General features: G+C 41.4%; 1 protein-coding gene across 55 annotated transcripts in view, besides 1 other annotated feature; it reads right to left on the bottom strand.

Annotated features, from left to right (window-relative positions):
- Nucleotides 1–25,297, bottom strand: part of MAP4K4 (mitogen-activated protein kinase kinase kinase kinase 4) — a 196,984-nt gene that overhangs the window by 108,533 nt on the left and 63,154 nt on the right. The window lies entirely within an intron of this gene.
- Nucleotides 18,857–19,151: a silencer, noted in NCBI's record as "tiled region #8953; HepG2 Repressive DNase unmatched - State 1:Tss". NCBI's record gives its function as "represses a minimal TATA promoter and a strong SV40 promoter by Sharpr-MPRA in HepG2 cells {active_cell/tissue: HepG2}" and the evidence as "EXISTENCE:reporter gene assay evidence [ECO:0000049][PMID:27701403]".

The raw sequence follows: 25,297 nt of genomic DNA, 5'->3' as shown, positions 1-25,297 counted from the left end.
GGAGGCTTTTAAATCCCAAAAGAAAAAGATGCCGGCCGGGTGCAATGGCTCACACCTGTAATCTCAGCACTTTGGGAGGCCAAGGCAGGCGATCACTTCAGGTCAGGAGTTCGAAACCAGCCTGGCCAACATGGTGAAACCCCATCTCTACTAAAAATACAAAAATCAGCCAGGCATGGTGGCGGGCGCCTATAATCCCAGCTACTCGGGGAGGCTGAGACACGAGAATCACTTGAATCTGGGAGACAGAGGTTGCAGTGAGCCAAGATCGTGCCACTGCACTCCAGCCTGGGCGACAGAGCAAGACTCCAACTCAAAAAAGGGAAAGAAAGAAAGAAAGAAAGAAAGAAGAGAAAGAAAGAAGAGAGAGAGAGAGAGAGAGAGAGAGAGAGAGAGAGAGAGAGAGAGAGAGAGAGAGAGAGAGAGAGAGAGAGAGAGAGAGAGAGAGAGAGAGAGAGAGAGAGAGAGAGAGAGAGAGAGGGAGAAAGAAAGAAAGAAGAAGATGGCAATGTTCCTATCTTCTCAAATGTTCTACTATCACTAAAGGCTAGGTAACTTCATGCTGCATAATCTTTACCTAAACTCCAATTATCCCTTTAAAACACATTTGATGATTAAATATATTCGTTGAGAGGCAAATTCCATTGTCTCATCCATATTAAGAGGAACTGTGAGGAGTGAATAAATTCAAGAAATGAAAAATAGAGCCTTCACCTCAAGACTCCAATCTGAAGAGATGGTCTAATACCAACCACTCTATCAAAAAGTTTCACCACTCATCCTCCAACCTTCCGTCACAGAGCCTTGCTATTAAATGGTGCCACCACCTCACATCTTAGCAAGAAAGTGCACGTGACTCAACAGCACTTTTTCCATTCATAGTGCTTTCTCCCTAAATTTCACCTTTTTCCAGAATCATAAAACTTTTGTACTCATACAGCCTAAGAATAGGAGAGAAGGAAAATTTATGATGTTTATGATACTATGTAAGGTAAATAAACACAGAAGTTAGGAATAACAAATGCCTTCGTCCCTAAATAGCCCAGAGGGGTGCACACACACAGCATCAACTCCAGCAAGCATATCCTGTGACACCGGAGAGCATTACAGTCCTGAGGTTGGACTGTAAGAACAGGACACAGGAACCATGTTGGCCCTACTCTTGGGGCAGTTAGTGAACAAGCATTTTATATGCATTGTTGTTTACTCCCCACACAATGCAAGTATCATTATCCTCAACTCACAGATGGAGAAACTAAAGCTCAGAGGGGGCTAGGTTAACAAGCTCAAGAGTCACACCTAGACTGGCTCTCTATACCAGGCTGTGGACCTGGAACAAAAATGACCACAAATGTCCTATTAACCAACTTACATAGGAACTGCCAAGTATACTATTCTATAACATTTTAATAGATATAATCAAACATGGCAATACAGTAACCAATAATAAAAACTTATTTTCAACCCCTGGCCTTTTTCTTCTTGAATAAAGAAAGAACATCCCACAGGAATTGTTTAGGGAACATGAAGGCATGTGTACACACATTCACAAGCCACTGTGGTCCATGGCTTTCTGAAACTGTAAGAGGCTTTTATTTGTTCCCATCTTTATCTCATCATAAATTAATGCTTCCTTTTATCTGCTGAGTTTAATCTGAAACAAAAATTTCAGAGATTAATTACCTGAAATTGGCTTTATATTTGCTTAATAGTGAAGCCTATTAATGCACATCTCAGTAACCTGAAGACTACCTTTAACCAGTGCTCAGGACATGCCCCACACTGCTGAGGAGATAAAACACAGCAATCTGCCTGCAGGGAGCTTATAATTTAAAGAGGTGTTTAAAAACACACACACACACACACACATACACACACACACACACACACACACGAAGAGCATCACAGAGAAATACCATGCCCTAGAGTAGAAACACTTAGGAAAGAAGACAGTGTGAAACCAATTGCTCTGCTTTCATAGGATGTGCAAAAGCAGCTGTTCAGGAAGGACACATCACTATGGGGCTAGTGAGGTGGACCCACCATGGTGGCTGCGGCTGAGCCTTCAAGGATGCCTGGATGGCACTGAAGATCATCAAAGGACAGAACATGGATCTCTCAAGATGTGAGCTGCAAACAATCCTTTCCAAATCCCAGAAGGGGACAGGTTTGAGTTAGCAACTGGCCAGGAAAAAAAGGGTGAGCACAATGAATCCCCCCAAGACTAGAAGCTGTGTCACAAAACCATGTCACACCTCTGCAGACATGCAAGGATGAGAGAAGCTTGTCATACACTGCACATCTAGAAGACGCCAGTCTCCCTCACTAAATCAAAAGAGAAGATTCCATGGTGGTGTGACGTGTACCTGCAACAGAAGAGAGAAGACCTGGCTGCTTCTCATTCCCAACCAACTGGGAAGCTTTGTTTCTTGATATTTGTTCGTTGACTTTTTAGTGGTGTGCTGTTGGCTTGGGAGTGTTAATATTTTGGATTTAAGAGATTTACTGGGGGTAAAGTATGTTGCGTTTTTCTATTAGGCATGTCAATTTCAGTAACAAAAATCACTGCCTTTCACCTGTGACATGCAGACTTCCAGGCTCTATCCCAGGCCATAAGAACTGTGTAACTGGGGTATAGGAATCCATGCCTTTTTAAACTAGCATTCTAGTGATTTCTTACACACTCTGAAGTCTGGGAATTACTTCTTCAAGATTATAAGAAAAGTCGCAAACTCAAGTTCTCTTTCCCCTTTCAGACTTACATAGTATTTATTACAATTATATATGCAACTTACTGTCTTAGCTGGGGGTTTGGTGTGTGAAGGTTAGATTCATAACAAGTAAATTCTAATTCTAACAAATATCCTTTTTTTTTTCCAGAAAAACACATAGCTTATGTTCTGAAATGTCCAAGAATTGAAAGGACAGGCAAGCCTACTTCAACAAAATGGTGATTTTACAGATTAGAAAGAAATCCCAGAGAGCTAGAAGGACACTCAACTAGTAGCTAAGCCAAACCTGGTCTGTCCATTCTCTCCCCAGAATATCTCATCCACACCATTCACAGTTCAACTTGACAATTCCAACCTACTCCCCTTTCCGAATTTTCTTATTTTTACTAGCAAATATGGAAACCTATGTGACTATGAGCTGAATGGCATGAGTACAGCACTGGGAAATCTACTGACCACTCTTTCCATATCCAACCACAAAAAAGGCAAAGACCAGCTTGACTGGTTGGGCACTGCAAACCCCAAAACCATAGGCCTCACTCATAGGTGTTCTTTTACAAAAAGCATCTGCAAAAAATCCAAAATTACCAAAGTGGGAGAGCATATTACCCAGACAGCTCTCCAGGAGCCATCTAAGATAAGAAAGCACGTAATCAACCTGAGACAGCTCAGAATACTTCAGGAAACATCTCGGTCTTCTAAACATCTCCTGGTTGGTACTAGATCATCCCTTCAGACTGGAGTCCTAATAGAGCAGGAGTAAGGAAACATGAGCCCACAGATCCACTGCTGTTCTCATCACGTGCCTCCAGACACCAAACCAAGCCTAACGTGAGAGGGCTCCTATATGTGCACGTTTCATCCTCATAACTACTATTTCTTATCTACTTCTCCCTTCCTTCTGTGATCAGGGCTGCAGATGAGCAGGCAGGCAAAGAAAGCACATGAATATGTCAGTGCTATCAGTTGGGACTTTCCAATTAATAAGACAGTGCTTCCATTCCCTAAAGACCTTAAAATCAATATAGAATTATTCCTTTCTTAGGTCGCAGCTACCTTATCTGAAACAACACTCCCTTTAAAGAAAATTATACCTCAATTGCAGGCAATGTGTAGACTTCTATTAAGAATGAAACAGTCAAAATAGACAATATGGTAAGACTTTACCTAATGCCACCACCCACTCCCCAATAAATGAGTCATTTTGCATAGCTGCGTTAGCAGATAACTGAAAGTAAAATAAATTATGCACCGCATCTTTTTTCTTTAAGGAGCCAATCTGGATGGAAATCTTTCTAAACCCTGAATTCTTGAGCACATTAAAAGGTACTTTTCTTAATGGCCCAGGGAAATCATTATGATCACTAATTACTATCCAGTCTTTGCAATTAAGGGATAGCCTCCGGGAATATTACGTCAGGCAGTAATATTCTGACTCCAACAAAGAAAGGGCCCAGTCATCTGGGCTCTGCATGCTTGTTCAGTCATTTACAGCTGTGTGCTGTGTTCTAGGACAGATGGCAGGTGGGGGGACCAGACAGCAAGCTCAGTTCCAGTTCGAGGAGCTATCACTGTAGTAAAAATCACCTCTATGTTAGAGAAGTGGAGACAATTTAAATGAGCAGATAATGAAGGGTGCAAGAGAAGAAATCCGGTCATGAGAGTTTACGAGTAATTCTTTCAAAAAGGGTGCTATGGTTTGAATGTCCCCAAAGTTCACGTGTTGAAAACTTGATTACCAATGCAACAGTGTTGGGAGCTGGGGCCTCATGAGAGGTGTAAGGCCAGGAGGGAGGAGTAAAAAGGTTAGTCTAAGAGAGTGGGTTAGTTATGTCCAAAGCAAGTTTATTATAAAAGGGGAAGTTCAGTCCCCTTCCCCCTCCCTCTCACCATGCGATGCCTTCCACGTTATGATGCAGCAAAAAGGCCTTCACCAGACATCAGATGCCAGCCCCTCGACCTTTGGCTTCTCAGCCTCCAGAGTCATGAGCCAATAAATTCCTGTTCATTTAAAGTACTCAGTCTGTGGTGGTCTACTACAGCAGCACAAAATGGACTAAGACAAAGGGGGAGGGAAGATCTGGCTGGGCAGTGGGTCAGGTGGGGAAAACGGGCAGAAGAGTTTTAGAGACATCTGGTGAAGATGCATTACAAAGGATAGCGCCCCTTCCAAGGGTGGTAACAGCCTTGCAGTCGCTACTACAACATCAAGTGTGAGGAACTAAGTTTGAAGAGGGAGACTGGCAAATAAAAAATCATCAACTAAAGGGTCCGAAAAAAGGATTAGCACATGCTTTCTTTCATCAACAGTCAAAGGGCACTGGCAAGTCTTCATGTCAGAGCATCTAAAACAATGGAGATTTCAGATTCTGCAAGCAGCTATCACTAGTATTTACTACACATACGCAGCTGCTCTTTGCTCACTTGAAAAACCCAACTGGCTAAAGACCCAGTAATTTTTGTTTAATAGCAAGAAAAATTTCCCATTTTTTACTATAGGCAAACTTACATATAAAGTTATTCATTTATTTTAGCCACTAAAAAAATACAGTATTCAACAGCCAAGTAATTAGTCAATATGGTAATACAAACCACGAAATTCAATCATATGACTCTGTCAAGATACGTTAAAAATACTCTACTGTTGAAGATAATTTAATTCAGCACTAAATAAAAGATTACTAACTGACCAATGAGAAAGGGAGCTCCTCCCAGGTGGCAATCCAATGGACTGTGCCTCTTAGTGACCAAGTGGGGAACCCAGGTTACACAAGAAAAACACACCTTGTAAAGCTAGGGCAGATGTAGCACTGGAACCCAAGAGTCTATGATTTCATACGACATCAGAAGACATCATACACAAAATAACTGAGTGGATTTTAATAAAAAGCTTGTTTATTATAATGGCTAAGCATTTATCCAGAACAAAAGACAAAACACAGAATTATGTGGGGTCCCCTTCCTCAATCCCAATAAGTTTCTCCACATTTCTCCCATGTGACTTCACAGTACACTTGATTCCTCATAATTATATCCACAGTATAACTTCAATATTGAAATATCACTTCAAGCATCACTAAAGCACTCAAACTGAACTCTTCTCATTGGCTTAGAGAAAAAAATTGAAAGTTTCATACACAAATCAAAAGGCAAGAGATTAAGGGATGAAAGGGATTCAGATTCCATTCTGGGCTCCTCATCCACCCATGGTCCCTTCCACTCACTACCAACTCAACCTTCAATTAAGGTTTCAAACTGATTCTTAACTTCTTTCTCAGCACTTCAAGAAGCTAACTCTAAAATACACTGCCCGTGAACCTACGTATATGTACACTATTCATATAAAGTCAACTGTAAGCAGCTTTGTGTGTCCCTGAACTATTGTAAAAACAAGTATAATCTGGTTTGTGAACCTAAACTACTTCTGTTGTTGTGTTGCAGCCAGTAGCACGGTTTAGAAGACATATTCCTTTCCTGCACGTGGTCTCTGACAACAGCATTTGTTTTCCTTCTGGTATTCAAAGTCTGTACACAGCTCTTAATTTGCCTATGCTGTATATTCATATTTTACTCACTACGCATAACTGTATTGTCCCTCCTTTAAAAAAAAAAAAAAGAGAGGTGAAAGAGAAACCCCACCTTTCAAGTTTTCTTTTGAGGTTACATGTGATAGTATCCCTTACCAGAAATAATGCACCCATGCCATCAACTCAGGTTTCCAAAGCCAGAGCACTCTCATGCAAACTCATACCATGTCCATCTAAAATTTATCTTGACAAAATTAAAAGAAAAAAAAATGGAGATAGAAAGAGCTCTTGTCTCGGCATGTGAAACAGAAAATTCTCTCCTCAAAGCATCATCTTTTGTTAAAAATCATCAGTTACAAGTAACCATATTATTAAAACAGATGAGTTTTCCTCAGTGTTATATAACCATTTCTTTTTGAGTTGTACACTCAACCCATCATCGCTTTCTCAGTATAAGATTCACAATGAAAGACCATGAATAAGTAAACAAAAGGGCAGTTTTATAGCTTTACTAAGGCTTAAATAGATCTAGTGGAGTTGATAAAGTCAGTGCTCTAACCACCTTCCCTGACTACTCTGCATAATGAGGCCATGCAATAATCACATTACATAACTAAAAGAACAGGCAAAGGGAAAATTTTGATGAGCTTTATGCTTCCCTCTATTTTTCAGCATCCTCCTCTCCTCCTCCTCCTCCCTATCAATAAACAAACCTCCTCTCTCACTCCACAAAGGAAGGGCCGATAAAGAAGCACTCACTGTGTGTTCATTCTCTCAACAAATATATTTAATAAATATCCATTTATTTATTGTGCCTGGCACACAGAAGTGTACAAATACTTTAATACATAATACAGCAAGTCATTGCAACCAAGTTACAATGAAGAAAAACATCCCTATTTTACAGAAAGAAAGTAGAGGCTCCATGAAATTAGAAAAACGAGCCGAAGGTCACACAGCTAGAAAGAGGGGTGAGGTGGAATTCCGACTCAGGTGTGTCTGGCTTCAAAGCTCCAGGTACCAGATCACTGATTTGGATCAGCACTTTTCCTTACCGGCCACAGAGATTTAAAATCAAAGGTCTGTGTTCCAGAACCTGCTTCCACCCCACTAAGGCACCAACAGCAGCCTGTAGGTGAAGGTCAGGATGTAAACCCTGAGGAGTAAAAAGCACCCGGGCAGTCAGGGATTGGTATGTCCCTTCATACGACTCCCTGCCCTTCCCTGGGTGCCCTTCAGGCAGCCAGAATCTTCGGTGGCTGTTTTCTGAAGATCCTCTCCGACTCCTCTTAACCCTGCCCCTGCTTTTCACTCAACCCCTGACTTGGTCCACAGCCTCGACCAATCAAGGCACCTTGAGAAGCCTGCCAGCTGCCAAGGTATCCCCCCAAAGCGCCACCCCCTCCCCCACAAGATACCTTCTGCATGCTGTCCACCCTGTGTGTGGTGTGGGCAAAGCCTGGGCTATCAATGTAAAGCCTGGGCTATCAGTGTAAAGGAAATGACTACAAAAAAGATACAAAAGCGATTTCACAACTGCCTGGAGATTAGGTGGGGACCCCGCACACTGTGCTGGACACACGAATCAGAGACACGCAGAGGTGAGCACTCACAGCCCAGCACTCACAGCCCTACGGAACTGCCTAAGGTGGTTTCAGCATATTTAACTTGCAATGGAGGGAGAAATGCCAGTACAGCTTCTTCCCCGGGATTCAGAGCTCTGCCTTGTGGGTCCCCCCAGACCCACAGGTCCCCTTCATCAACCTTTGATGAGAGGACATCTGTCTGACTTGCTGCTCCAGGGAAGTCATTCCACTGAACCTACAGCCCACAAGCATCCAAAATTACCCCTACGGAATTACTGGTAGAAATAGAACACTGAATTGAAACTCTTCCAGCAACAAGTACACCAAAATCTGTCTTCCTAAGATAAATCCGTAATATTAAAAGTAAAAAGAAATTCTGATCATCTGAGTCAACTGCTCTGCCACTAAACTGAAGAACCTGAACAAGTCTCTTCACTTCTTGCAAGTGTGGCCATCTTACTATAAAACGGTCATGATTCTGAGGCCAACATTCTGATATACAAGACACTGGTCTAGATGCTAGGGATACAACAGTGAACAAAAGTGTGCAAAATCTGTGCTCTAGTTCTTGAAGGGGTATATAAGCAAAATCAAGCAATACACCTTCTGCTCTTCTGAATACGTTCTCATAGTTAAAAGAAAAAGGATGGAAATAAGCTACAGGGAAAACCCTGGCAGAGCACTGAGGAAACGGAATGCGAGAGATGGGGAGGTTGCATTTACACTGCGTGGTCAGGGAGGTTTCTCTGATACCTTGTCATTTGGGTAGAGAGCAGATGGAGGCGATGAATGACTTTGTCTTGCCACTCGCCCTGCGGGACCTTGTGAGCCGGAATTAATCTACACAGAAAACCATGAGCCGGCACCGAAGGTGGGATACGCTAGCTCCACTACCCATACTGTTTGAAGGTAATGTGGTGGCTCTGCTCAAGCTTCAGGTTCTCCACTCCTTCTTGTCAATAGCAGACACAGTGCCCAAAGCACACCCACTGCTGTGTGCCGCTATGAAAACAGGCACTGCACAGAGCAGGACTCTCTGTGGGCATGTCCAGCCATTCCCAATAGCCAGCTACTTCCTCACACAAAGCTCATGCTTGGATTATAGAGAAAGGGCCATGAGAGGCTTTCGCTTAAAAATGCTACAAGATTTCTCCATTCACCACCTGACCACACACCTTCTTCAGTCACTTTTCAAGCGGAACTCACACTCAGGGTTAAGGTCTGAGGCCTATATTGGCAGAGCCTGGCTATGACTTTCTACTCATTGTTAAAGTCTAAGGCCTATATTGGCAAAGCCTGGCTATGACTTTCTAATTAAGCACTGAAAGCAAAGTCTCCCGCCTTTCTATAAGGACAATAGTCAGAAAAAGAAAAATATATATTTTTAATTTAAAAACAAAATCCTAAATTTAGGTCCGTAACATTGCTTATTATTATTTGGTATGTGGTTATTTGGGTTATGAGATTGCGAAATTCAATTGTGGAATAAATTAACAAAAGCCAATTAACATAGCCATATTAAAAATAGCCTCTGTGTGTCCTCTTACGGTTGCACTTCTTCCACTTCAAATTACCCTGGCATCTGATTAAGGCAATTGGCTCTGAGTTTACAGCCAGAAACTACTCTCTAGGTGCTAATAGCAGGGTTCTTCTCCCTGGCAATAAATCCTCCCTAGTAATTCATTGACTAAATTGTACCTAACATTTTCCATAGTGTTTTTTTTTGGGGGGGTGGGGGGGTGGGGGTGCATTTTTTGTCTTTTTAATTGAACATTCCAAAAATTAGAAAGCTGTATATTTTTTTTTAAACCCAGATTTCTAGCTTCTCTTGAAAAACAGATTTGTTAAAGCTGAGCCTCTAGACTAGGCCCAAGAAAACAATGTCTGGAGTCCAGTGGGAACTGCCCCGTTAGACCAGCAGGAGCTCTCCAGCGTCCCTACAGGCCTTATCGCTCAGAATGCTCACACGTGAACCTGAAAAGCCCGGGCCCGATATTCTTGAGTGCAGAACAGCAATGGCTCTTCCACCTTAGCTGACCATCAGTCCCTGGGAGGGCTTTTTGTTGTTGTTGCTGGGAGTTTTTTGTTTTACTTTTAATTAAATATGCCTGGGCCTCACCCAGATCTACTGGATCAAAATCCCTAGGTGAGGGGCCTGAGAATCTGTAATCAACTTCTAAATAATTCAGAGTAACTGCCACTACGGCTTGATGGGGAATAATGTCAGAAAGGCTCCAGTCTATATGGACCACCAAAACTCACATTCCCAATAAGAAATTGAAAGCCCTCCAAAACACCACCACGTTAAGCATAAGGCAGCTCATTAATTGCATGTCTATCTCCCCGACATGTGAAAACAAACAGGTTTGGCCCTGACAGCATGGGAGAAGCCCAAGTAGCAGACACCACATAACACTCCAACAAAAACACTGACCCACAGTGAGTGACCACACAAGCACCCTGACTCTGTTCCCCCTTCACTGGCCTGACCACATTAAGCTATCATCCCAACAGGGCACGTGAGCGTGAACGGGGCACTGAGAGTAAGTACTCCAGGAAACCAGGTGTGAACCAGGGCTGCCTCGGGGCACACAGAAGGTTATGGTCACCCACCTTTTCCTGGGCTTCGAGAATTTGAAGAATTTTTTTCCGAGGAAAAATAAAACAGATGGCAAATCACTAATTACTGGATTCTAAGTTCTCACCCCCAGCACTAGCCCAGGGCCTGCACACAGCAGGCCCTCAGTAAATGGTTTTTCAAAGAATAATCAAGAGGCTAACAGGTGTTATATGACAAACATATTCAGTAATTTGTAAACACAGACCTTTACAAACAATCTCAAATAGGAGGTACAACCTTCAAACCTCTCAGATGATCTCTCCTTTAAGAAGGGTTCCTGGCAAGTCCACCACAGCAGTTACCCCACTTGAATAGGCCATTCAGAAATAAACTTGGTAAGATACAAATTTTTCACAGGAAATACAAGCAGAGGAGGCTAAATATGACCTAAGAGCTGACTCAACAGCCTCTGTGATGGATAAGGCTTCTCTCTCTAGGGCCAAACACCCCATGTTGTTCTTTGTGGATATAGGCCAGCTGTCCCCAGAAACTCATCCTCCTAAACTGTACCAATAATGGCCCCACAAAGCCACTCAGCAACAACATGCAGGAAGCGTGAAGGTTAAGATTGATCCGGGGTTGTCCTGAAATACTGCTACAAAATCCACGAATGCCTACAACCATCACTCAGCCCCTTTAAAAAAAAAAAAAAAAAAAAGAGGGGATAGGAAACCCTAGGTTTTTGTGAGATTGATAAACAAAATGGGGGGAAGTGATAAAATAAGCAAGACGACCTAGGTGGAGAGGCCTCCACCCTACCTGAGAGTGAACTCCAGGCCTCTGGAGAAGTCCTTCGGGGGCTGCCCAAATTCCACCACACCCAAGAGCCTACCTAGGAGCGCAAGTCTCTTCAGCACTAAGACATGCCTTTAAAATCAGAACCAAAAGGAACTGCATGAGAGGGGCTTTTGGGGTGATGAGACTGTTCTGCATTCTGATTGTGGTTACATAAATCTATACATGTTAAAACTATACAGACTTGTATATCAAAAGAAAACTAAGTCAATTTAACTTTATGATAGTTTTTAATCAAATAAAAAACTGAAGAGAGGCAGCAGTGATTCAAAATTCAGGTTACCTCACAAGCACAGGCACCCAAAGGAAAAATGGACAAAACAGGATAACATAAAGTTAATAAGCTTCTTGCACTGCTAATGTAACAATCAACAAAGTGAAGAGACAACCCACAGAATGAGAGACAATATTTGCAAACTAACCATCTGACAAGGGATTGATAACCAAAATATGTACAGAGCTCAAACAACGCTATAGGAAAAAAATCTAATAATCTGATTTTAAAATGGGCAAAAGACTTCAACAGACGTTTCTCAAAAGAAGACATACAAATGGCACACAAGTATATGAAAAGGTGCTCAACATCACTGATCATCAGAGAAATGCAAATCAAAACTACAATGAGATATCATCTCACCCCAGTTAAAATGGCTCATATCCAAAAGACAGGCAATCAAAAATGCTGGCGAGGATGAGGAGAAAAGGGAACCATACACTGTTGGTGGTAACGTAAACTAGTACAACTACTATGGAGAACCATTTGGAGGTTCCTTAAAAATCTATAAATAGAGCTACCATATGATCCAGTAATCCCACTGCTAGGTATATACACACAAGAAAGGAAATCAGTATATCAAAGAGATATCTGCACTCCCACGTTTGTTGCTGCACTGTTCACAATAGCTAAGATTTGGAAGCAACCTAAGTGTCCATTAATAGACGAATGGATAAAGAAAATGTACTTATACACAATGGAGTATAAGATCCTGTCATTTGCAACAATACGGATGGAACTGGAGATCACTATGTTAAGCGAAAGAAGCCAAGCACGGAAAGACAGACATTGCACGTTCATTTACTTCTAGGAGCTAAAAATCAAACCAATTGAACTCATGGAGATATAGTAGAAGGATGGTTACCAGAGGCTGGGAAGGTAAGTGTGGTTGGGGAGGGGGGTTAGTGGGTACAAAAAAGATAGTTAGAAAGAATAAATAAGACCTAGTATTTAACAGCACAACAGGGTGCCTATAGTCAATAATAATTTAATTGTACATTTTAAATAACTAAAACAGTATAACTGGATTGTTTCTAACACAAAGGATAAATGCATGAGGGGATGGATACCCTATTTTCCATGATGTGACTATTACGCATTGCATGCCTGTATCAGAACATCATCTCATGTAACACATAAATATATACACCTACTATGTATCCATAAAATCTTTTCTACTGTGTACTCACAAGAAAAAAATTGAAGGCAATTGCGGGGTGGGGAACCCAGGTCGCCTCTGGGCCTTCGGCCTATTTTCCTGTCTGCTCAGTGAGAGGCCCCTCAACAGACAGACACATCCGCTTAGGGATTTTGCTTTGTTGGCATTGTCTTTGTTCCCTCCCCCTTGCTGCCCTCCCTTTTCCTATTCTTACCACATTGTCAAGCAAAAAGGTTGATTCAGAGTCTCTACTGATTTAGGGTCTTGAGTTGGGAAAACATCAAAACCAGAACAGGTATAATTCCTGCCTCTAGTGCTACAATCAAGGAAGAAGTGCTGGGGTCCATTAGGTCCAAGGAGAAGTGCCGAGGGTCAACTAGGGCACAGAGAAGCCCAAGGAAGGGGGTCTTGCAGTCAGCAGCATTTACAAGGCACTACCCTACACCAATGTGAAGATGGTGTACTCCACTTTCTGAAAACCCAATGCAAAGAAACCGACTTTGTCAACCCAGATAAATCAAGGAAGGGTTACACCTAAAAGCAAGTGAGCAGCATGGGTTCAGACAGGGAGGCAGTGAATAACATTACCAACTTCCAGAGCCCAGTCCCCTCATCTGTACCCATATCAAGGAGTGAAGATGAAGACTGACATCCTCATGTGTGTGAGGTTTAGCACAGTGCCCAGGCGCGGGGCAAGATAAAGAAATGTTAATTACCATAACACCTAAGCAATTCTTTATATTACATGAAACTGATGAAACACTTTGCAATGTGAATGCCAAAAAAGACTTCATTTAGTTTTGTGTTATGCACACTTTTCCAGTCTGGCACAGAAAGTGAAGCACACTACTATTCAAAACTAAGTGGATAACAGAAAATCAGCGATAACTTTTCTTTCTCATCCTTTCTTGGGTGAAGATACATAAAATAATTTCATTTAGGTCTTTGGAAAGGGAGTCATAATAGTCCACAATTTAAAAAGAACAAAATTCACATGGAAACAAATATTTCTATAGATATGCCTCTTTTCAATCAGCAGGTGTGTGCCTAAGCTGTTACTTAGATCAAAGAATTGTTTGCAACATTCACTAAAGTTAACCAAGTTTAAAGAAATTTTGTTGGATATCCTTTTTCAGCTGTGTCAACTGCAACTTCAGACATAGGTAGGGTTTAAAATGGGGGACACCTGGGGAGACAATTGGCCCTTCCAGGAAATAAGAACCAAGGAATTTATTTCTGAATGATTTTCAGGTGGCTGAGACGTTGAGTACAAATCTGGGCCTCCAGTATTCTCCATCAGGGGCCATGCCCAAGTTGAGTCCAAGGACAAAAATGTTTATTTGGGCAATGTCCTTTCAACACACACTGAGCCAACAGACTTTTGAACCCTGGCAGAACAATCACACAGCACAGGGACAATAGGGCTTACTAGAGGCCTGGCCTTGCCAGGCTGAGGGAGACTTCAGAGGCCCACAGAGAAACCCTGCTGACCCACCATAGACCACAGCACAGGACCGCCAGCAATCAGATTTCCAAATCATCAATCACCAGTCATCAAGCTATTGTGTTTCACTCTTGGTACTCTAGCAAATTATGTAGGGATTTTGCTTCCATTTAAAGAAGGACAGGGAGTAGGGTCAATTGGGAGTCTTCTCATTATAGTTTTCAATTCTTCAAATGATGTGTCCATCCTGGAGCACTAGGCAGCTCAACTCCTCATGTAAATGAGGGAACAGCAAAGATCAATCTGGCCTCATTAATTGCTGGAGTCATTGTACAACTAAACTGCATGTCTGCACATTGCGCGGCCTCCGTGCACTTAAGAATAGAGTGGATTTAACAAAATTCAACTAGGGAAGTTGAGGGTTAGGAAGATGTTAAGTGAAAAAATCCTCCCCCTTCTCTCCAAAAGGAACCTGAAAAATCTCAGTGAAGACTGAGCAGCTGGTTCAGAGGAAAACACATGAAAGAAGAATATGCTTACATAACTGGGTGGAACAAAAGGGGAGGTGCTGGTATGCTTAAAGACAAAAGCATAAGCACAGAAAAGGGGAATGCAACTAACTAAAATGGCACCGTTCCACTGCCATCTTCTCATCTCACTTTAGATCCTGGCGGTCTAAGCAAATTTCTCCCTGGAATGTTAATCAGGACACCAAAAGGTACAAGAAGGTTTGCTCTTGTTCCTTCCTTTTCCCATTATGCTCACCCAATTCAGCATCAGCATTTCCTCCCTACCAAAGATCCAGGCTTTCTGGGTTTTATAAATAGCTCCCCTCCACCATCCCCCAACCTTAGGACAGGCTGAGAGCAGGAAAACAACATGGAGAGCTCAGTATGATAAAATCAAGGTGTGCTATTTATGTGAACATGGTGATATATCCAACTATTTTATTACTTTTTAAAAGCAGATACTGTTTTAGTTGTGTAAATTCCTGCCATGAGGCTGTTAAGTGGGATCCAAAATATTCAACTTGGATGGTTACTGAATGAATCAATCAGGTAGAGCCTACACAGCTGGTAGACAGGACACTCGAGAAGCATGTAACTGTGGGGCTATTTGTGTGAACCACATTCATCTAGATTCTGGTCACAATTTAGCGCCATCTGGTGACAGTTGTCTACTCCAGTTTAAATGTCCACTGGGACAATTATGGGTCTTGTGGCTGGCTGCCACACAAGACAGCCAACAGCAATTCCAAGAATCCCAGGTAAGGCTTCTCAGTTCAATCCATGGGCAGTAGGCAAGAATACTGGGGACATGAAGACCTACTCTCTATTTAAGAAATGAGGCTATGTGGAAGACAAGCCATTGCCAGTCATATTATTTGCATTACTGAGCTTCATACTGTAATATTTTTATTCTATAAAAATTAGAATGAACAGGCCAGGGGGCGCAGTGGTTCACACCTGTAATCCCAACACTTTGGGAGGCCGATGTGGGTGGATCACCTGAGGTCAGGAGTTCAAGACCAGCCTGCCCAACATGGCAAAATGCCGTCTCTACTAACATACAAAAAATTAGCTGGGTCTACTAACATACAAAAAATTAGCCGGGTGTGGTGGCAGGCACCTGTAATCCCACCTACTCGGGAGGCTGAGGCAGGAGAATCACTTGAACTCGGGAGGCAGAGACTGCAGTGAGCCAAGATCGTGCCCCTGCACTCCAGCCCGGGCGACAAGAGCGAAACTCCGTCTCAAAAAAAAAAAAAAAAAAAAAAAAATCAGAATGAACAAAAGTGTAACTTTTTTGAAATTCAGACCTAAGACTGTTTTTAAATGTTCATCTTTGAAGGTGAAAACTACATGTTAATGATATCTACAAAACTTATTTGTTGAAAAAGAACAAGGGATATGATAAACTCAGAGTAACTGAAGAGATATGAATGAAGTGAGCTCATCCTCCTAGTAAATGTTTATGAAATATAATTTTGCTGATTAATTAGTAAAAGCCAGAATGTTTTACCTCACTGATATATCTCAGCTGTTAGGGTTGGTGGTTGTCTCCGATTTCCCTCCAGACTTTCCTTTAAATACATAATCCCCAACAAATGGCTCAAAACCATGACTCAAGACATTTCTGGGCCGGGCACAGTGGCTCATGCCTGTAATCCCAGCACTCTAGGAGGCCAAGGTGGGTGGATCACCTGAGGTCAGGAGTTTGAGACCAGCCTGGCCAACATGGTGAAACCTCGTCTCTACTAAAAACAAAAATTAGCTGGGTGTGGTGGTGGGCACCTGTAATCCCAGCTACTCAGGAGGCTGAGGCAGGAGAATTACTTGAACCCAGGAGGCAGAGGTTGCAGTGAGCCAAGATCGCACCACTGCACTCCAGCCTGGGCAACAGAGCAAGACTCCACCTCAAAAAAAAAAAAGAAAAAGACATTTCTGGATGAGCATCATAAGAACACAATCTCATTATGGCTTAGCATCCAAACATGAGAATTGAATTCACTTCAAATAAACTGTAGAGGTACATACTGCAAAAATCTTGAGTAATTTTCCCATTCTCCCCCACTCCCGTTAACTTATCCTTACCTTATTTCTTCTCAAAATTCTATCTGTTATGACCACTTCCATCCCTCCACTTAAGAACAAACTTTCATGTCTGTAAGCACCAGGAGGCCAGGGACCTTACCTTGCTGAATATTCACTATTACAGATCTAGAACCGGCTAATGGTAAATATTCATGAAAACGAGCTGAAACTCATTCTACCTTTTTATTTAAATAATAATGACACAAGAACAAATGAGACCACAATAATGAATCAGTTAATTTTCACATTTTAAAAAAGCCAAGTCACTTAACGAAACTTTAATAGTGAACTGCAGTTATTTCCAGGAAGTGATATAACAAACAAACAAACATATAACAAACATCTTGCACAAGATTTTGGCAAAAGCAAAGGTTTTCTTTCTCATCTAAAAGTCACAAAATTCACACACAAATACAATTCCAGACCCTCACAGATTCTTCTTTTAGCTTTATAAACTAAACACCACTACAGTTTCAAATTAGAAGACTCTGAACAGGCTTACACCAACTGTGGCCACTGACATCCTGTGCCTATTGAGAACTGGAAGCTTTTCACCACGGAGCAAATAAAAGGCATTTGTGCCTTCTGCTAAAAGATGAAGAGGCAGCACTGAAAGAAACACCAGACGAGGGTATCTTCTTATCACTTAATCAAACAGGCTCCTAAAACCCTTAGATTTAGACTGTTGGAGAAGTACCAACATCACTGATACTGGCTGGAAACACCCTTTTCTGTGGAACAAATCTAGATGCTCACCTAACCTCACTAACATACTGCTCACTCCACTAAGGGGAAAAAACACACTGTGTACACTGTTATTTGGGGGATGGGTAAAAGACGTATTACTACATTGTCTTAAGGTCTGCAACAGAAAAAAAAGTAGACTGTGGGGTTAATATTAAGAAAAAGCATACAAAACTAAAATGTCAGGACTATAATCAAAAGCATACAATACCTAAGCAAAACCTTAATCAACGCTGACGACAGCAATGTGGTGTTTTAGAACAGCATGCAGGACTCATTTGCTCCTTGAGAGCTTTGTCTTCTCTAATCCAACAATGTATTCTTTGTTAAAAGCAGTTAATAGTATCAAAAGAAAAGCAATATATATTAAATATCACGATGCTCAGTTACTTCCCAAGCCCACTGGGGTTAATTAAAGAGGAAACAGATCAAAATTTTACCGAAAGGGGCATGGTATACCCCTTAATTGGATGCAGAAATGCAAATTTTTAAGTCACTTTAGTGCCCCCAATTCATTATATATTAAAATATTACTAACGTTATGATACAAGATAATCATATTCTTAGAGAGGCAGCTTAAGTAACTGCAGCTAATAAGCCATGTGTAAAAAGGAAGTATACAAATAAGTACAATGAAGAAAAAATAAAGAAAATCTGTGTTTCAATTACCTACTCCAAAACACTCCTGAATACCAATCTTTTATTGGAACAACAACAAGTTTTGATTTATAGTAAGTCCACCAAATCCAAAAGGCCATTTCATTTGTGGAAAAGTAAGGGGGGGTGAGGGGAGAAACAGATCTGAACACAAGCAATAGAATATTACAGCTCATTCTAGCCCAGTTATTAGCAGGCCCAGCTGTCATAGCAATTATTAAAGTGAATTTTCTGCCTAATTAAAGGCTATGACAACCTGTCATATACTCCACTTGGGTGTCAGTTAGAAGGAGCATCTCTCTCTGCGAGGAGATCAGTCTGGAGCCAGCAGTGCATGAACTCTGCCTGCTGAGGACCCTGAGCTAGATAAAAACAGAGGCAGACCCATCTCTAAAGGTGAGACATTGGTTCACACCAAATGATTAGCACTGGTGTACTTTCTGAGGTCTCAGAGTTAAAAGGCAAGGCCACTCTGGAGATAAATAGATCACAGTGCAAACAAAAGCCAAAGACACGCCAAAGCAAGCTGTCATACAGAAGGAAGAGTCTTTGTGTTCAAAAGCTCCCTCTGAAATTCCTAACTGAAGAGCTTTCAAAAGACCACACATTTAGGGGAGAAGAGACAAACTCTTCACAATTGTGAGCTAATAAAAAAAAATTCTAATAAAAGCCAGGTTAAATCATAGGGCCTCTCCACCCAACTCCCAGTGAGATAACATATTTGCAAGTATGTGTGGCTCTCGGTTTGCTCTTCCTAAAGGAGGATACCAAACATGCCACTGTGGCTTTTTCTCACCAGATTGAGTCACTTGCCCATTGTTTCACTTAGCTATCCCCTTTTCATAGTCAACAAATCCCTCCAGTGGGAAGTGAGGCAGGAGAATTGGTTGCCTTCCACAACCAATTAGATGTCTGCATAGGGTATAACTTTGTAACTTCACTTCAAACTCTGATTAGTTACGGAAAGGGACCAATAAGACTGACTGCAGGCCACTACTTCATTTACATAGGGTGTACACCAAGTAGCCAATGGAAAACCTCTAGAGGGTATTTAAACCCCAGAAAATTCTGTAACCAGGCCTTTGAGCTGCTTGCTAGAGCCCGCTCCCACCCTGTGGAGTGTGCTTTCATTTTCAGTAAGTCTCTGCTTTTGTTGTTTCATTCTTTCCTTGCTTTGTTTGTGCATTTTGTCCAAATCTTTGTTCAAAGTGCCAAGAACCTGGACACCGTCCACCAGTAACATAAAGAAGGTACCTCAACCTATGCAAAAGACAAAGTTTGAAATAATTATTTCCTAGAACAGGAAACATAAAGGGAAATGAGCTTAGAGATGCCAAAGCCGGAAACAAGTTAGGAAAAAACATCCAGTGTTTAACTTTTGTTAAAGAAAACTTTGAAATGAAAAAAAAAAAAATCAAGACAAAAGGCTCTAAATCTGAATAAAGCTGGAAATTGGTGGCTTAGGGTTTACTTCCTCCAAAATTACCCAACCAATACAAATCACATGAACTGTATTTATATTGCATGAAGTCACTTTTAAAAGATCCAAGACACACCCCCAAAGACTGGGAGCCAGGGACTGCTCCAGGTCTCCAGAGTCCTCCCACAGACCACCTATAAGACATTTATGATAACGCTTATCATAAAGCAGAAATCCAATCAACTTATTTGATTGACATAACTTCTAAAGCAGTGACATCCTTCCCACTAAGCCCAGGTGACCACCACCAGCTTACCTCCTGTCCAGCCCCCAGCACTCATAAAGAAGAGGAAAAATCAGACCAGTTCATTTTTCTGTAATTTCAGAAATTCATAAGATCTACAAATTCTTATATGTGCGTGCATACATAGTGGGTACCCACATTAGTTCAATTCATCAGGCAAGGGATAAAGTTTTCTCAGAAGCAGTCAAAGATAAAAAGGGTCCCTTAACTTTGGTGAAGGTAAAACTGGGTCTGTGAGACAGCCAGGGCCAATGAAAGTGTCCACACTTTCCATCCACCCATGTCTCCGAATAGGGTATGTAACCTTTTTAAATTTCCATTTAATTTTTTTAATTTTTTTTAAAGATGAAACAAGCAAGCTGAAAAGAGGCAAAAGTTCACTAAGGCAAAGAAACACCTTTAGAGAAATTCAACCGGGTCTACACTTTAAAATACGCCTCACAGAGTAATTGTCTCAGAAATTGAAATACTATTTTGTCTACTTTTAATTGTGAAATTTCTAAACATACAGAAAAGTAAAAGGAATGTTCCCAAATATAATGAATATCTGATTACTTAATACCTAGATTCAACACTTGTTAATATTTTGACAAATTTATCTTTCTCCTAGTAAGATAGATTTCCTCATTGAATCATTTCAAAAATAAAATACAGAGATCAAGATACTTCATTTCTAAGTACAGGCAGTGTGATTTACACCTGTAATCCCAGCACTTTGGGAGGCTGAGACGGGTGGACTGCTTGAGCTCAGGAGTTTGACACCAGCCTGGGCAACATCATGAAACCCCATCTCTACAAAAAATACAAAAATTAGCTGCACATGGTGGCGCGCACCTCCCAGCTACTTGGGAGGCTGAGGCAAGGGGGTCACCTGAGCCCGGGAGATGGTGGCTGCAGAGAGCCGTGATTGCGCCCCTGCACTCCAGGCTCAAAACAAACACACAAACAAAAAATACTTCATCTCTAAAAACAGTTACGAGTATCTTGCCATTATCACATGCCATTAGCACAGCTAAGAAAAACAACAATCCTTGTATTACCCAATATCCACAATATCCAGTCTACATTCAAATATTCCCAATACCCCTTCCTCCCTACATACTTTTTTTTTTTTAGCTTGTTTCTTCAAATCCCCCTTTGATTCCATGGGATTGACTTTTTAAAGAAACTGGCCAGTTGCCTTATGGAAGGTCTCACATTTTGAAATTATCTGATTATTCCCTTGCATTATTTGTGTTGTTAATTTGTTCCTTTATCCTCAAGTTTACCTTGCTTACTTAAATTCTGATTAACATTTTTTGGACCATCTGATAATGGTATATTACCTACAGTATTGCAAGGGAATTACATAATGTTAGTTTGTCCAACTAATAATGCTCATAAATTTCATCACTTAAATAGTGAAATAAATATTTTAATCTGAGATTATTTCACTTAAAAGCATCTAGGATTTCAAGGGATATGTTTATAAACAAGAGAGAATGCAGGAGAAAAGGGAAATATTCACAAAAAGAAGGAGATGAGCCAAAATATCAAAGAGGTCAGGGTCTTGGTTATATTACTCTAGGTTATGAGTGGCAAGAAGGTGCAGGGCTTATATTAATTCAAGTATAATCTGCTTTACAGAAATCTAAGAGCTTTAAAAGCAGACACAATTATTAGATGATTAATAACAATGCAAAACTATCCCTACAACTAATTCCTTAGGTATCATTAAAATAAAGGTTTAAAATGCAATACATATGGCATACCATCTCCTAAGTCATTACATACTTTTCAAACATGTCCTTGCACATATTAATATATTCACACACTGGATCATCATAAATCAACCTCAAAGAGGTAGGCAGAATGAGAATGTTCTCAACTTAATTTTACCAATGGGAATTTGAGCTCAAGGCAAAGATTCAGCCAGGAACACAGTGTCAAAACTAAGGTTAAATTCCAAGTCATTTTTCACTCAGTATAATGGCCTTTCTAACAAAATGAACTATGAATTTAACAGCAAGGTTCAATTTGGGTATAATTTTTCAGAAAGAACTTTACGTATGACATTACAGTGCAATGCTACATATGTTTGACACTCATATTTTATAAAAGGAAGCTAGACCCTTACGCATATCACATACATACATGCACAATCATTTTTTTAGCATCTCGGTGTTTCCTTATCTGAGTAAACAATGTTGTAAGTATGTTAAATAAACCCTCCTTAGGGAACACCAAACCCACAGACTTCCCTGTAAATACAGTTGTGTCACTATAGCCCCACGTGACAAAGATGAAAAAATGTGACACAATGCCATCATACATTCCTATTTCTCAGGCAAAATCATACAGCCACACTGCATGCACCCTGACCTCTCAGGGTCCTCTCCAGCCCCCTCTCCAGCCACAGCCTTGTGATGAAACACTGATTTTTTTTTAAGTCAGATTATGTTGTAAATGCACCTGGAGAGAGCTTTTTAAGTTAAAGGCATTTCCGAAATTACAAAATAACTGTATTTCACAGCAACATTCAGATCAGAATTCTATGAATTCCTCACCTTTGTTTCTCATAGAGATTGTGGTAAGACACTCTTCAAGTTAGTTCATCTCCCTGAGCTTCTATTAAGTCTAGAGTCCATGAATGCCAGGGCCTTCTGTGCCAGCACTCCTGGCATATTTAAAACCTTCTGGAAATTGTTGCTTCACTCACACTTCCTTTTGCTAGAAGATGCAAGGAGGACTTGTGCACATTTGTGGACATTTGCATAACAACTCTGGTTAATTCTTTAATCAATAAAAAATTAATTTAAAACTTATAAGCCCAATAACTTGGCCACCAAAACCCTAGAAAAATCACAATCATCAAGATAAAGCTCAAAAGAAAATGATATGTATATACTGTATCCAAAGTCATCTGACCTGGTCACGACTTGTAAAGTGGGTATATATTAATAACTTAACTGTGTTTTCTTTCTCTTTGCAATGTGATTCTGTCATGAACTAACTCCTGTCTAGCTCTACAGCAACCCTGAGAACAGCGCCTTTATCCACTGGCTGGTGTGGTAGGTAAGTATAAGTGCTACACAACTTCTCCTTCTTGTGTCTCTCAGTCTCACCGGATTCTTCTGTCTCACAGGATTCTTTCCTGGAAGACTGTGCTAATGACAGAGTGGACTTACACATCCTACCCCACCCAGGTGCATTGCCCGAGGTCACAGCAGGGGCTAGGAGCAGTAGAGCAGAGGTCTGACCCTGCATCTGGGGCTGCAGAGCTGGGGCCCTTTGCAGCTAGAATCTTCTGGCCTCACATTCCTCAGGTCTAGCTACCTATCAGTTGATGACATGTTGTCACATTTCCACAAATGGCGGCCACTCAAATTCACCACCACACACATAACACCCCAGCCCCCACCAGCCCAAAACAGCTGCTGGAAACTAGCAGAAAGCAGACTATTGCTTTCCATAATCCTTTCCTCTCCCAGTTCCAATTACACCCACACAGGGAGAGCCAAGCACTGAAAAGCCTAGGAGGAGGGATTTTATCAAGTCAGAGAGAGCTTCACAGCCCTCTGCTAGCCCCAGTGAGACAACAGTACAGCTTTGTGCAACACATGCTTGGGGGGTTTCTTCACAGCAATTTAGAATGAGGAAATTCCATTTACTGCCAGACTTTTGTTAAAGAGCTCCCATTTAGATGGCCATGCCCTTAATAATCTTCCCCTGTGCCACTTAGCCGTTTTACCTCTACAAGAGCTGACAACTCAGCAGATGGTATCAAAAGTACTTCTGTACTCAGGGTTGAATGGGAGTATGAGGGCCTGGACCGGACAGAGCTTCTATTCAGAATGGCCTCCTTTGAAAACTCCTCTGGTGTTCCAAATCCCAGGAATTCAAGTCACTGCAAGGAAAAATCTTCACTGCCCAGGGGGACAAGGATGCAGGGGACAAGACCAACTGGGCTACCTATGCCAGGCATGGATTTGTCACCACAGCGAAGATTAAGGGTCGATTAAGCATCTTACCTAGGTGTGGCAATTTGCCAGACTCCATATTCTCTTACTGAGGATTTCTTCCAGACATTTTAAATGAGGTGCCTTTAAATGTGGGATACACAATTTCTGATGCCAGAGGTCATCACCAAGATCACAGAAACACCACCTACTGAATGCTTAACTAAAAGTCAATTCACTTTCCACCCATATACCTTCTAATCCTGAAAACAACCCTACTTGGAATAGACTCCCGGTTCTATTTTTTCAGACAGGGAAATGGACTGAGAGGGGTTACGTGAGTTGCCCAAGCTTACAGACCTATCTCAGTCCACCCAGGTCTACACAATCACACAGCCTAACCCACTGTTCTCCAATTATGTCTGCCCTGACTCAGCACCAGCGCTGAATGTAGCTCGGTGAGGGTGGCAGATGGGGCAGGATAGGGATTAAAATGCTCCCATACTCAGCGGGGTGTGGTGGCTGATGCCTGTAATCCCAACACTTTGGGAGACCGAGGCAGGTGGATCACTTGCAGTCAGGAGTTCGAGACCAGCCTGGCCAACATGGTGAAACCCTGTCTCTATTAAAAATACAAAAAATTAGCCAGGTGTGGTGGCGTGCACCTGTAATCCCAGCTACTCAGGAGGCTAAGACAGAATTGCTTGAACCTGGGAGGCGGAAGTTGCAGTGATCCGAGATCATGCCATTGCACTCCAGCCCGGCAACAAGAGTGAGAGAGACTTCGTCTCAAAAGAAAAAAAAAAAAAAAAAGAATGCTCCCATACTCCCCATAACTGAATTACCTGCCTGTAAAGTGAGAGAATCCTGAAGGCAAGGACTCTCCTCTCTATATATCCCCAGGACCTAGTGTGATGCCAGACACACAAAACACACCAAACTGATGTATGCTAGATGACTGGGCCCAAGCAAAACCTCACACAATTCACTGGAAAAGATCAAGCAACATTAGCTAAACAATCTACACTATCATAAAAAAAAATTTTTTTAAGAAAAAATACATCTAATAACAGCAAACCTCAAAACTTTAATTTACATAATTTTAAATATGAAATACTTCATTTATACCAAAACCAAAAGAAAAGAAAATCACATTACAATGATAGTATCTTTAACTTCTATAGCAACTTCACAAAACACAAATGTTTCACTTTAAAACTGCGATTATTATAGCCTTGACATTCTGTTCTAGGAAGAAGTATAATTCCACATTTTTTTAAGTTGGTTCTTTGGATTCAATCTAGTCTTTTTTATCTAAATTGCCAACATGTTAAACATTCCACTTTAAACAATTTTTTTTGAGACAGAGTTTTGCTCTTGTTGCCCACACTGGAGTGCAATGGCGCGATCTCAGTTCACGGCAACCTCCGCCTCCCAGATTCAAGCGATTCTGCTGCCTCAGCCTCCCCAGTAGCTGGGATTACAGGCATGCGCCACCACGCC

The sequence above is a fragment of the Homo sapiens genome, chromosome 2, assembly GCF_000001405.40.
Source record: "Homo sapiens chromosome 2, GRCh38.p14 Primary Assembly".
Classification (NCBI taxonomy): Eukaryota; Metazoa; Chordata; class Mammalia; order Primates; family Hominidae; genus Homo; species Homo sapiens.
The sequence above is the reverse complement of the archived record's forward strand: the minus strand, read 5'-3'. Positions and strand labels throughout refer to the sequence as shown.